Here is a 15,108-nt window from a genome sequence, read left to right as displayed (position 1 = left end):
TGGTGGAGAGGACAATATAGTAAGGAACTGAGAGCAGCCAACAGTCAAGGGGAAACTGAGGCTCTCAGTTTAATAACCTTAGAAGAACTGAATCTTCCAACAACTATATAAGTGAACTTGAAAGTAGACCTTTCTCCAGTGGAATCTTCAGATGAAAACAGAGCTTTATGCCAATTCAAGAGCTCTTGGAACCCCAATGTTTAAGGAAAAAGAAGAGATAGACTGTCATATTTCCAACAAGCTGCCTTCTTTCCTTGGGGATTTCTTTTGCATTACAAAGAACATTATCCCTTCATTGAACCCAGTTTGAAAGCCACAAGTAGTTTAGCAAATATTAGAATACCTGAAGTTACTAAGTGTTGGTGAAGACGTGGGGAGACAAGCATGTTATTTATGGAAGTGTAAGTTGACACAAATTTCTAATGAGTATCTGACAAAATATTGTAAACTTTCACACACTTGACCCAGCAAGTCCACTCCAGAAATTTATTTTAAAGGATAATCAGTTAAGATCAGACCAAGAGGTCATATGGGATATCTCCTTGCACATAGAAAGCTCTACATATGAGCTTTAATATATTAATTGAGTCCTTTACAATGTATCAGGTTCTTTACATATATTATCTCATTTAACTTTTAAAATGGACTTTATTTTCTGTAATAGTTTTAGCTTCACAACAAAACTGAGGGAAAATGCAGAGAGTTCTCGTATACTCCCACCCCAACACATACATAGCCTCCCCCACTATCAACACGCTCTACCAGAATGGTACATTTGTTACAATGAGTTGACCTGCATTGATACATCTTTATCACTCAAAGTCCAAAGTTTACTCTTTTCTTGCACATTCTCTGAGTTTTGACAAATGTGTAATGACATGTCACCACCATTTTAGTGTCCTCTGCCCTAAAAATCGTCTGTGCTTTGCCTATTCATTCCTCTGTGCACCCTCACTCTGACAGCCATTGGTCTTTTTACTGTCTCCACGGTTTTGCCTTTTCCAGAATGTCATATAGTTGGAAACACACTGCATGTAGCCTGTTCATATTAGCTTCTTGCATTTAATAATATACATTTAAGTTTCCTCCATGTTATTTATGGCTTGATAGCTATTTTTTGGCACTGAATAACATACCATTGTCTGGATGTACCACCGTTTATTTGTATATTCTCCTACTGAAGGACAATTTGGCTGCTTCCAAGTTTTGATAATCATGGATAAAACTACTTTAAAGATCAAACCTAAAAGTAGGTATTTGTGTAGACATAAGTTTACTATTTATTTGTGTAAATGCAATGGAGCGTGATTGCTGGATCATATGGTAAGGATACGTTCAGTTTTATGAGAAACTGCCAAACTGCCTTACAAAGTATCTGTACCATTTTGCATCCCCACCAGCAATGGGTGAGCATTCCTGATGCTCCACATTCTTGCTAGCACTTGGTGTTGTCAGTGTTGTGGATTTTCACCATTCTAATAGGTGTGCAGTGGTATCACATTTTCATTTTAGTTTGCAATTCTCTAATGACATATGATGTTTAGTATCTTTTCATATGCTTTTTTTTAAGCTGTATATCTTCTTTGGCGAGGTGTCTGCTCAGGTCTTGTGAATACCTATATCAGATTGCATTCCAAATGTAACACATTTTTAGAAGTTAAGAGATTCGTTCTGAGATTTCATATGTACCCTTCAGTTTACTGTGGGCATTCCTTTTTTCATGTTTCTGAGCAATGGAGAACAGCCTTTTGATATTATCTTGATAATATTCTTGCTTATTTCCCTTGTAATTTTGGATCTAGACCTCTAAGCCCAGAGACAACTTAAAAAATTACATACATGTGTATCTGGGAGCAATGTTATCACCAGATAGCTGTATTCAAAGACAGCTTCTACTATATTCTTTTATAAAGTAAGTTAACATCATTGTGTGTATACCACATTGCTTTAATACCATATGCTCATGTGATTTGTTTCACTCTTAGCCCAAACCAATCTGTAATGTCTCCCACAAGTACTCAGCTGGTGATTTCAGGATCAAAGAGATGACCTTATGCAGGCCATTATGCCTGCACTGAAGTGCCTGTAAAAAAAAAAAAAAAAAAAAAGCACTTTGGGAATTTTTGCAAAGTGATTAGCAGCCAGCAGGAAAGCATGAAATAAAATTGATTTACAGGACTGTGATTGGCTATTTGGAGGGGTGGACGTTATGCTACTTACCTTTTCTCTGATTTCAAGTCTTATCTTCAAGGCTTTATTTATTTATATTCTTAACCACAAAGAACAATTTAGTTGAGATGTTCTTATCTTTTTCTGATGTGAGGAGAATCATGAAACCACAGTTATGAACTTAATACAAATGAAAGGAGGCTGAGAAAAGTGGTATCTGACAAAGAGTTCAATGATCTAGAAGTGAACTTCCAAAGAGTAAAGATCTAGAAAGGGCACAAAGTCCAACTGTTCATGAGGCTGATTCCTGATAGATGGCTGGGGTGTGAAGGCTGGGGAACAGGCCAGAGGAGAGCAAAATCTGCTAGGTTTTGTCATATGCCATGAGACGTGGCTGGTGAGACAGCTCTCTCATGAGTCTGCCCACTGTCTGAGGTCATGTTCGTGGGGACCCCAGGGTAAGAGAAGATTTCTTAGACTTAAATCTGTGCCATTAGTTTAGCTCTTTTGTACTTTATTGAGAAAGCCTTCATCTGTCTACTAAAGCTATCCAATATGACCAGAATAAACATATCTCCTTTCTCATTTACTGTGGAAGAACAGGACTAGTCAATTTTAATTTGTTTTGACAGTTCCTGAATCTCTTATCTGAAAACTCTCTTTCTACTACTTTTCTTGGAGGTCAGTGCATTGCACAGAATAGCCATTAGCCAATGGGCCATAAAATCCTGTAACATCCTAGGTCATGAGAATGAATATTTTAGGGTATTTTTTTTCTCCCCGTTCCTTCTTGTCTCTGGCCTTGGCTCTGTGACATAAAGTAAAAATAATGGCCAAAGTTCATTGCAGCAGTGCGTGAGTTAGGCTATACCAAGATCACCCTTGTCCCATATTTCTTCTTGATCTTGTGAAATTATATGGTCTGAATATGTTCCCTCCAAATTCATGTGTTGAAACTTAACTGCCAATGCATTAGTATTTAGAGCTGAGGACTTTAGAAAGAGGTTAATGTATGAGGACAGGGCCCTCATGAATGGGATTAGTGACCTTATAAAAGAACTTGAGGGAAGTAGGTGGCCCCTTCCATTCTTCTGCCTCATGAAAACACATTGTCCATCTCCTGCTGAGGATGCAGCAACAAGAACCCATCTTGGAAAGAGACACTGGGCTCTCACCAGACATGGAACATACTGATACCTTGATCATGGACTTTCCAGCCTCTGGAACATGAGAAATAACATTCTCTTATGTGTAAATTATCTGATCAAATATATTTTATTATACTAGCACAAACAGACTAAACCATGATGCTTCCATTTTTTACAAGTCACAAGTAACAGAAATCAGGGTCTTGAAGGTCATCTTCAAGGCCCATGGTCATCTAGGTATCCTGTCCCACAACGCAACTGTGACTGCTGTGTCAGCCAGACAGTTGCCTCTAGACATGTGCTTTCTTAATATGTCCCTAAACTTTCAGCATGGGCACTCCATCCTTGCTGCCATATCAAAGACCTCTCCTTGGCCTCAAATTATCAGCCCACCAATGCAGCAGCCAATTTGAGACCTGAATATAAAGTTAAGGCCTAACACTGGGATCATGGTCAATTTTCCTTTTGTTTTTACCAACTCATTAACAATGACATCTAATGTGGCCTTCTGAGAACCCTTTTCAATGACCACAATTCCCCAAGTATCCACTATTCTTCCAAGTATTCTAATGACACCTGCTTTTTTTCCCCTTTAATCTGGGTTTTCTGTGCTGTACTGTTTAATAGATAGATAGAGTATGATTTCTGTTGGGGAATATTTTATAGGTATAGCTCTTCTGTCCAGAGTGCAATGTTCCATAATAATCTCCTAGAGGTATAAAGGATGTGCAAAAAATTAGAATCCACTGGCTGTTTCAGTCATTTCTGATCTGCTCTGTTAAGATCTTTTGTTCTGAGAAGAATCAAAGAAACTGCTTTGAGTCATACACTTTATGAATTTGTTTTTTAAACAGACTACTCATTTGAAGGTTTGGGTGTTCACTTCTTTTTAATTATGGTTTCTGAATTTCAGTTATAGGCAAGCAGGCTGTATGACTTTACTTCATTTTCCCTTTCTAAATATGTGGGTGGTGGACACCCTATACATGTATTTGGGTTAAGCAAATAGGCCTTCCAAGTTATTACCAGGGAGACTGCTGTGGGACTGCTTTCTCTTTTGACATTTTCCATGCTAATGTTCCCTTGACCCAGCCCTTGACTCTGTGGGTTAATCTGGGCAAAAGTGGACCTTTACTGTGGCATGGGTTCATGCAGGAAAGTGTCCAGTTGAGGAATGATAGAAGACTTTTCAGGTCTGTTGGCTTAGGTAGTGACCCATTCTGCTGAGTTCCATCCTAACTTACAGTTTTCCTCCTCTAACTGCTATAATTCTCCAGATGTGATGATGTATTTTGATCTGGCTTTGCCTTCCTGGATTAATTTACTTAATAAATATTTAGAAGGCCCTCTATGACATTGGACATGATTCTAGGCTCTTGGGAATGTAGCAGGGAGCAAGACTGTCTAAGGTCCCTATGCAGATACAGATAAACAATAAAATCTACAACTGAGAAGTTAGTTGCATATTGTTTTAACAGTTAAGAGGGGAGAAACAGTGTGATGTGATGAGTGAAGCAGAGCGTATTCAGGAGAGGATGATCAGGGACATCTCACTTCATCAGGGCAGTGACAGTTCAGCTGAGATCTACATGTCAACAGACAGCCAACCATGAGAAGATGAGGAACACCATTTCATATAAAGGGAATGATAAATGTGAAGATCTAGAGGCAAGAAAGTATTGCATATTTATGGAAGGGAAGAGAGGCCAGTCTGGCTGAGGCATCGTGAGTAAAAGGGAGAGTGATGAGGAAGTGAGTTGGAAGGATGAGCAGATCATGCAGTGCCCAGGAGAGCTGGAGATCAGTTTAGAGTGTATAGTTAATGGAATGGGAAGCCACAGAAAGGTTTTAAATAGGTGGGACATAGGATTTGAATTTACTTAAAAACATGTCTCAGGCTGTTGTATGGAGAACAGAATGTGGTAAACAGCCACAGAATGGGAAAAGCCAGTGCTGAGGCTATTCATTTAGATATTCTTTCTTTTTTTTTTAACTTACTTTTTTACTTGTTTTTTGTTATTTTGAGACAGGGACTTGCTATGTTACCCAGAGTACTGGAGTGCAGTGGCATGATCCTCAACTCCCCAGGCCAAGTGATTCTACTACTTCAGCCTTGGGAGTGGCTGGAACCACAGGCGTGCACCACCATGCCCAGGTAGGCTTTTAACACATTTTTAATTTTGTAGAGACAGGGTCTCCCTATGTTGCCTAGAGTGATCTCAAATTCCTAGACTCAAGTGATCCTCCTGCCTCAGCCTCCCAGAGTGCTGGGACTATGAACATGAGTCTTCATGCCCAGCTATCTCTAACTTTGCTTTTGAGTTGGCCTCTGCCCACATTCCAGTAAGAGAAACTGTACTGGGTCAACTTGGAATTTTTGAGGTTTGATTATTTTAAGCTATAGATTTTCTTAACCTTGAAGAGCTTTATTGTTTGTTTGTCTTTTCAATGTAAAGAGCGATTAATTGGAGTGAGGTCTAAGTACCTGTATTTTGTAGAAACTCCCCAGGTGATTTTAATAGGCAAACAGGGTTGAGAACTCCGTAGGACCAATTAGGGACTGACAGAGCAGGAACTTGCCATCTTGGCCAAGCACTGTCATTTTAAAATTCACCTTGATCAGAAACTGACTAAATCCAAAGCAGATCAGCCTAATGGCTAAGGTCAGCAACATCCTGTCAACATCTCTTACCAGAAACATTCCAAACCCCTTCCCAACAAGAGACATGCCAGCCCTGAAATAATCTCCTGTCTGGTCAGAAAGACGTCAGCCCCAAGATAACCTTCCCTCCAGCCCAAAGACATTCCAACCCTGCCATAAACTTCTCCCCTACACAGAAATATTCCTAGCTTGTGATAAGCCCCCTCACCCTAATACCAATATATACTCTTAGTCTGTAAGAGAGAATGCTCCTGACTGAAATTGGCCAAAAGCCCCTCTCAGGTTTATTTTTCTAAAATAAATCTGTCTTTGACTGTTGAGCCACATTTTGTGTTTCTTTCCTCTTTAACTCTTATATTTGGTGCCAAAACCTGGGATGAGTGCTGAGGGTAGAGCTCTCTTGCAACCCAGGAAACAGTGGGCAATGGCAGCTCATCCTGAGCTAACTCCTGGATTCTGAGGGTCTCTGGCCACCTGCCCCATCTTCTCTCCTATTTCACTTTTTTGAGCAATTTGCATGAGGAGGACAAGTAACCTGAAGGGAACTGTGAGGCTCTGGCAAGGGCTACTCCCTAGAGTAATCAAAACCCTCAGTCTTGGGAATCCACCTCCAACCACTGGCAATGTGTATTTCACTCTCTTCCCTCTTCCTCCCTCAACCTCTCTCTCTCTCCTCTCTCTCTCTTTCTTCCTTCCTTGTGCAGCTCCAGCCTAAGAGGCCCTTTGCCAATTCCAACTGGAACATCCAGCATCAGACACTAATCCAGCTGACTGGTAAAATTTGCCCTCCCCTGGTTTTCTCATGGTACCCAGGAAAGTCAGGTCGGCCATCCCGGTCCTTGGAGGACCAGTGGGACTAAGCTAGAGGAAATCTTGGGAACACCAAGTTTTTTCTCAGCTTGACTGTCCTCTTTAGAAAGAGTATTTCAGGTCTCTGTCTTTTGTCTGGGGACACCTAGAAAAAAACAGACACCCTCGGCTTTTTCTCACCAGTCCACATGGGTGCCAAACAATCCCACATTCATATGCCCTCTCCACTGTGCTGTCTCCTTCATAATCTCGACAAACTTGGCTTACGTATTGAGTTTTTTATTGCAACATGGCCTGGCCCCAATAGAAATTACATAATGACAGCAGATGGCCTGAAAATGGCACCTTTAACTTCCAAATTCTCAGGAACCTTGACAACTTTATAACCAGGAATGTCAAACGGCAAGAGGTTCTCTATATTCAGGCTTTCTTCTGCTTCTACTTAGATCCCAACCCTCCCTGTGTCAAGCTTGCACCCCTCATGAAATCTTTCTTCTTAATAAAAACCCTCCCCGGTCTCTTCTTCCTCTGAAACCCCTTTTTACCCTGCAGATGAACCTGTCTGTATTCTCATCCACCTACATCTGCTACTTGCCTGTTCAAACCCTCTGCCTTGGTGGCCCCTCCTGTCCCCAAGCCTTCAGCCCCAAACCCTGCTCTTCCTCCTTCTCCACCTGTTACATGTTCAAAAACCACCTCTGCTATTCTCCCTCTCTGGGAAGTGGCTGGGGCTGAAGGCATTGCTCGCGTTCATCTCCCTTTTTCCATGTGTGATTTGTCACACATCAAGCAGTGTCTGCGATCTTTCTCTAAAAATCCCTCTCATTAGCGCAGGGAGTTCCTGCACATAACCCAGTAAAAAAGAGTGCTGAGCTTAATTAAAATGGATATTCAAGCTATGAGTATATTCAAAAGGCCTTTATGTTTTTTTCTTCTTATATCTTATTTTCCTGGAAAAGGTTTTTTCTCAGTTAACTGAATTACTTTTCTCCACTCCCTCTTGCCACTCCTGGTGCATGTATGAAAAACCCTAAAATGACTTCTGATGGCCTGGGACTCCTTGGGAAAACACAAAAGGTTCCACAAATCCCATTTTGGGAAAAATTTCTGTTTTCCTTATGGAACCCCTGGAATTAAAGGTGAATAAGTACCTCTCAAAATCTGTCTTTGCAGCTATGCTTGTTTATTAGGCCCTGGAAACTGTTTTCCTAGCCCTGTTCTTAAAGAGCCTCACCCAAAGGCCAATAATCCAATTGGGAAATTAGCAAAAAAAAATCTTATAACTACTGAATCTACTTCTGGTTGTCTGTGTGGCTATATATGTGTTATGCGTGCAGTGTCTATTAAAAGAGCTCTAATTAATTGACCTAAGAAAAATAAGCACTTAAATATTTTTAAGGGAAAAGTAAAAGCTGTGGGACCTTTCAGTTCATGTGACTTTAATCTTTAAAACTTGCTGGTACAGTAAGATTAGAAATGTCTTAAGAGTTGCCAGCATACATTTTTGTTTGCATTAATTGATCAAGCAATTTCATACTTATTTCTGCCAAGTATTACAAGGTGTCAAAATTTGACATAGATGTTACAAAACTATAACTCAGCCCAAACAGAATAATCTTTGCTTGTGTAATTTTTTAATAAGTGAAACATTAATATTGGTTTAATGAAGACAGCCACATCTTGAACTATTTAGTAAAATGCCCTAACTTCTAATTTTATGGCCTTAGGCAGTCTTGTCCACAGCCATGAAGGAAGTTTGTTTGGGGAAAGGACTGTTATCATCTTTAATATTAAAGAAAAGAGAATTTATATAAAAATGAATCTTATATGGTAAATTCTTGTCCTAAAGTAAATTAACTGGTTGTTTAAAGAAAGAAATGTTTACAACAATTCAGAAAGTCGAGGCATGTCTGAGATTGTCTGTGAAGGTCGTGAAAAGTTTTATAAAGGGAATTTGTGTAAGAAATGTTGAACAATTTAAAAGTGAGTAGACCTCCTGAATACTTCATGAAATGTCACTATAACTCTTAGCCATACAAATTGCCTGATTTGTAGCTAGGTAAAACCTAGGACACATGGAGTTAAATGCTGGAATAAGCTAGACCTTAACTGCATTTCTGTCTCGGTCCTAGACTCTACATCTAGTACATAATTAAAATCCCAAACTTACCAACAAAAGTAAAGGTTGCTAAAAGTTAACAGTGTAACATGCGTGTAATACTATTGAAAAAACAGTTTGCAAATACTTTTGACAAAAAGATTATAAGGAGGCATGAGAGTGTGGATTTTTACCTAGATTAAAAGGTTAAAAAATTTTTTGGAGGTTTAAGAAAATTTTGGAAGGTTAATTGTACAGGAAATTCTGTGTGTAAACATATTGGCTAAAGTTGAAGAGGTATCATCTAGTTTTCCTGCAAATTGAGCATTAAAATAAAAGCACAATGGATTTCTCTTAAAACACTAACCTGCTCTTTAACAAAAATTATAAAGTGTTAAAAAGAGTCTATAAAAATCTTATATTAAAATTGGGTAAATGCGTCTACAAGGTTTTATTAACAATTGAGTTTAACATTAATAGCACACTAATATAAAGGTAAAATTTAGCTTATTTGGTATAAAATCATACAGGAAGCATTGTAAAATATAAAATGGTGTTTGGCTTTCTTTGGGCTATATTTGTATAAATACGTTATTGGTATGTGCTCCAAAGTTACGGGAGACTCCTATAATTCTGATATATCTCAGTGTATGTTATCAGTAATAATTATAATTGTTATGTTAAAATTATTGTGTGCCACAGAGGTAACAGATATCCTTATCAATTATGCCTTTAACTATGGCTACCCTAAAACTTTGTGTCATCCATAAACAATTGTTGTCTTCTTTAGGTCCTCTTTAGAAGGTGGTTTTATAGTCAGTTATAAAGCACTAACAAAATTTGGAGTATACTTGTTTCTCTCTACCTGATTTTCTCCAGAATTTGGAAACTGTGAGTATTCTTAAGTTATGGCAATATAGTTGTTTGCATAAGTGCAGTAAGAATCTGTTTTCTTTTGTAACAGGACACAATTGGAGAAACTGGTTATTTCACCAAGGCTTTGACTGGAATGGTGTGCCTTCCTTCAAGGAATCAAACTGGACTTATGAAGCCAATAAAGCCCTTGGGAAACTGGCCTCGTATTTTGTGTACACAGTCCCTGTACAGGGTTTCTGATCTGTGGTAAGTAATGAAGGTCACTTTCTGACAGGCCGGGAGGCCCAACTTATTTGGAACCTCAAGAGGAGAGGAATTCACCAAACTCATAGTTATTTGATGGTACAAATCCATGGCTGCGCTTGGCTTTAAAAAGGTCTTATCTCATATTCCTTCTATGGAACAAAGTTCTGTCAAAGCCAGTTTAAGAGGCCTATGTAACAAATCATTATTCTTGCTGCGCTGTATGCAAATAATTAAGCCAAGTACAATAAAGCAAACCAGTCCTACCATGATTTGTCTTTTAATAAAAATGGGAAACTGAAGAGAGAAAATTATGTTTCAAAAACTGTAGCATACCTGTTGTTAAATTCTAGTGTTGCCTAACATTTTTCAATTCTTATTATTTTCTACTGTTTAAATTAAATTCTAACTTTTCTGACTACAAATTTCCAAAATAATCTGTGCTTTCTTAAACCCTATAAACTGAAAACCAGATGTTTCAGCAGGCACTGCCTCTAGGACCCCGACCCTCACATGAGGAAATAAAGAAATAGGAAATCTTAAGCCAAAAATCATAAAAAAATAAGTAACCAAGTAACAATTACTCATCTTACTCAGTCTCACCCCTACCTCACCAAATACTTTTTGTCATTCTTACCTCTCCTTTTAAGCCAAATATTAAAACTTTTAAATGGTAATTATTACTATGCCACCCTTGTGGGAATTGCTTTACTCACTCTACTATTTGCAATAGGACTATATACTGTAGCACCCTTCAGGTAAATATCAGAGAAACTCAATTACCATAACATTTTGCTTAATTATTATCTTCATAGCAGGAATAATGGTTACCAACAGGAAATAACACATGGGCCTTCCCAAACATGTGCCTCTGCCTCTCATTAGGTGAGGAATGTTTCTATCTCAACCAGTTGGGCCTGGTAAACAGGTAAAACAGAAAAGAAAAGAAAAAGCTGGAATACCAAAACAACCAAATAGGTCTTTGGTTTGGGAACAAAATCATAGCATGGACCATCCCATGCCTGGGCCCTCTCCTAATAATATGCCTAAGACTAATGTTTTTACCCTGCCTAATTAACCTTTTTCAAAGATTTTTAACTGAAAGGATCAGGGCCATTTCACAAACAACTACCGAAAAACATCCACACAAGGCATTGCTCCTACAGTCAATCTGAGACCAGAAAACTCTCTGTGTCCTCATCAGCAGGAGGTAGCCAGAAAGAACACGTCGCCCCTCATCCTTTTTATAACTGTAGGGTCAGGATTGACAGAGCAGGAGCATTGCCATCTTGGACAAGCACTGTCATTTTAAAATTCACCTTGATCAGAAACTGCCTAAATCCAAAGGGCATCAGCCTAATGGCTAAAGTCAGCAACATCCCGTCAACATCTCTTACCAGAAACATTCCAAACCCCTCCCCAATGAGAGACATGCCAGCCCCGAGATAACCTCCTCTCCAGCCAGAAAGACATCAGCCCCAAGATAACCTCCCCTCCACCCAAAGACATTCCAACCCTGCCATAAACTTCTCCCCCACACAGAAACATTCCAACCTTGTGATAAGCTCCTTCACCCTAAAACTAATATATATATATGCTTAGTCTGTAAGAGAGAATGCTTCTGACTGAAATTGGCCAGAAGACCCTCTCTGGTTTATTTCTCTAAAATACATCTGTCTTTGACTGTTGAGCCACATTTCATGTTACTACCCTCTTTCTTTAACTCTTACAGGGATCCCGTTTCTTTTTGGGGGATTACAGTAAGTATAACACAGAAGGATCAAATGCTTCCCTCTGCCACGGCGTATGGAGACAAAGGGCAGTGCAAGATGCAACAGGCTTTGTCTGCTCCTGGTAGGCCTGCCTTTCACACAACTGCTCCAAATAGTGAAGACAATATAATAAGTAAGAGCCAGGAAAAGTCCTGTCTTGGCTGTCCATCAGATAACAATGGAATAGGTGTGGAAGGCTGCTGCTGGCCCTCACCATCGTCTTCACTACTCATAGTCTGCCTTCTTCCCGTTCTCTCAGATCTTCATTCCCCCAACTCAGCTCACTTAACACTTAACAAAGCAAACCCCAGGCATGACTCCTTTTCTCAGCTGCCCTTGGCATTCACATAATTTCCATCCTCTCTGCCCCTGGTGGGAGGGGAGGAGCACACCTGGCCAGCCTCCGGCACGAATTGCTTAGTGCTTGCCCCTCTGTCTCCCTATCACAGCCACAAGTGCCATGCAGATTGCAGTTTTCTGGTTTTCAAGGTCATCTCCACTAACCCAAAGCACATTCCAATGGGTTTCAATTTCCAGCTGCTCCCCTGAGATTCAGGCCACTGTTCACAATGCTCTCTGAATCCAGCCAGTGCCCTGCCTCATTCCAGCAGTCGGGAATGCTCAGCTTTGGAAGCCAGTGAGGTGGGCGGTAAGGTGTTTTATATGCCAAGTTGCCCTGTGTTTAAGAAGATTGAAAAAGGTGTCAGTGTACGTGTGGTGTTCATGTTGGCATTCTCACACATATATTTGAAGAATGTTTGATCTAAGTAAAAGGAATGACAGACTCCAGTTCCTGGAAACCAGGGATTCTTTGGAAGCAGTTCCATGCATTCTTTTTACTCACTGAAGACACTCCACTGAGATGCCTTTCTGGACCTACTAGGGCTGAAGTAGGGAGTGGTTCTGCCTGGGTGTTCTGATACCATCTGTGTATGACTGGCCTACTCCAGGCCCCAAGGCTGTGTCTCATTAAGAGCAGAGCCCCTAATAAGTTCACCTGTCAGTTGAGTGGGCATGTGCTGGACGTAGTGCTCAATGCTAGGGAGACAGACATGAGAGAGGTAGAGATGCTTACACATTTCAACATCATTTAAGGGTGAAGGTGAAGGCTGATATTGTTCCCTACCTGCCCAATATGCTTGTAGTGAATTATTCTGCCAACTTTAAGTATTACTTTAGGGATTGGCACTAGGAGCTTCAGGGGGTGGGAGGTGGTCAGGGGGAACTTCATGTCAAAGCTTCACATGTTATGTTAGGGCAAGATGGTACATTCAGCAAAGGCAGAGCATTAAGTAGATTCTCTGCCAAGGACTTTACAACTATAAGTCAGTGTCCCCACCACTGCTGCAAATCAGGTAATGTTCACTTTAGCTGGCTTTGTTGGGCAAGGGAAGGGACAGTGTGTGACCTTGTAAAAGCTAGTTCACTTTGGCAAGAGGCTGAAAAAGGGTCTGGCAAGACATTTCTCTTGTCAAGAGTAGCATTAGCAAATGTCTGAAATGAGTATCATCTCAAGAATTCAGCTGAAGTAGCTATATTGCTTTCTGTGTTGAAGTTAATAGAGTTGGTAGAAATCACAGACATGACTTCACAGCCTGAGATTCACTGGACTGACACAGCCACTGTTCAATGCTGCTGCAGCCCAGACCAAGCCCTGTATGTATTCTTGATCTTGGCCTCATCTGTGCAGTGGAAAGATAAAGGTATAAGGTGTGGGGAAATCAAACAAAATGAAAAACATGAAGGCTCTTGTAAGATTCAGGGGCTTGTGTGAATGTTAGGAAGCAAGGTGGTTACCGGGTGGTTGTGCCCAAGTGCTGCAGAGAAGGGGCTGCTGAGGGGCATCCTAAAGTCTTGTGTCATAGCTCCTGGGAGCCTAGAAGGAGGAGAGAGGCAGTTGCTGTGCATGTGGCCTGTGTCCTCTGGGATTTCCAGCTCCTGGGGCAGGGTAATGAGGGAGTGAGAAGGCATGGCCTCCCTTTCCTGAGAACAGGAAGAAAGAAGGAACTAGTTCTGCTTCTCTTTGAGGGTGTGCTGTGCGTGGAGTGTGCAGGGCAGAGCTTTGGCATTAACTGGCAGTGGACTTGAGCAAGGCATGACTTTTCTGGGTTTCTGATTCCTTTTCAGTAGGCACTGTCTCTATTGGCTCTGCCCACTTTTATGTCAAGTGATTGTCTAAGAATTTTAAAACCTACTTGGGAAACGTCCATAGCTAAATGCAAAAACAAGAGACCATATTTAAGTCAGCATTAAGTTCTGCAGTTCAGTGGTCATCAGATATCAGGGAGGGAGGGAATCGGTTCCTACTTGGCTCCACTTCTTGATCTTTTACAGCCCTATGAGAAGTATGATGCCCCATGCCCAGTGAGGTGCCAGGTGCCACTAGACCCAAGGAAGGTCTGGAAAACCACTTTCTCGAATAGCTTTGGCTTCACACAAACAAACAAGCATGTAGAGGCATGTGTTATTATGACGTTTAACTGCAGAAGTGTGCAGGTGCCAGAGGATGCAAATCATCTTACACTTTTAAAGCCCAATGTCACTGGCAACAGACCTTAGAAATGAGCCATAGCCTTCATTTTTCAGGAAAGGAAACAGACGCAGGAAAGTGAAGAGATTTGCTTGACTTTGATAGCAAAATTGAAATGAGAACCCAGGATTTGCACCCTTCACTCTCATTTGCAGAAATATTCTGTTTCTAAAATGAAAAAATACTGGCTTCTTTTTGCCATCCTCTCCCCCTTTCCTTAGTCTCAGTCACCCCAGCTACTTTTATTTCTATACCATTAAGTACCTGCCTATCTCCATTCATGCAGAACTCTCATCCTACAGGCTGATGTTGAGGTGGGAGATGAGCTGTTTGAGCCAGGCAGATGACTTAGGCAGCTGGCTGGTTGTTAGGCCTGCCTTCTGCCCTCTTTTGAAATGTCTCATTCCAGTTTTTTTTTTTTCTTAATACATATGTTGGTAGGACAACCTCCTGGCTCTGTGGCTTCACCTGCCTTCTCAGCTTAGGGTTAGCAAATACTGGGTCACCACTGCAGGTGAGAATAGAGTCCAACTTTGTCTTCCTTAGGGAACACTCATACTTCAACAGCCTTTAGATCATTTCCTAAGATCTCATTTATTCTGGTCCAGGGTCCCTTTCTTTTGAGAACTAACTTCCCTCCTTCCTTCCTTCCTTCCTTCCTTCTTTCCTTCCTTCCTTCCTTCCTTCCTTCCTTCCTTCCTTCCATCTTTCCTTCCTTCCTTCTTTCCTTCCTTCCTTCTTTCCTTTCTGCTTTCTTCCTTCCCTCCCTCCCGTCCTTTCTTCTTTCCTTCTTTCCTTCT

The 15,108-nt window shown here is 40.6% G+C and overlaps 1 long non-coding RNA gene across 2 annotated transcripts; it reads left to right on the top strand.

Annotated features, from left to right (window-relative positions):
- The first annotated feature begins 5,351 nt into the window (after nt 1-5,351).
- Nucleotides 5,352-12,413, top strand: LOC105378935 (uncharacterized). Of its 2 annotated transcripts, XR_947755.2 has the most exons (3): nt 5,352-5,472; nt 9,852-10,009; nt 11,739-12,413. It is a non-coding gene; the product is annotated as an uncharacterized LOC105378935 (long non-coding RNA). The 2 variants fall into 2 exon arrangements; XR_007066504.1 differs by lacking the exon at nt 11,739-12,413 and having other exon boundaries at nt 9,852-10,431.
- Nucleotides 12,414-15,108: the final 2,695 nt, after the last annotated feature.

The sequence above is a fragment of the Homo sapiens genome, chromosome 1 (assembly GCF_000001405.40).
Source record: "Homo sapiens chromosome 1, GRCh38.p14 Primary Assembly".
Lineage (NCBI taxonomy): Eukaryota > Metazoa > Chordata > Mammalia > Primates > Hominidae > Homo > Homo sapiens.
The sequence above is the reverse complement of the archived record's forward strand: the minus strand, read 5'-3'. Positions and strand labels throughout refer to the sequence as shown.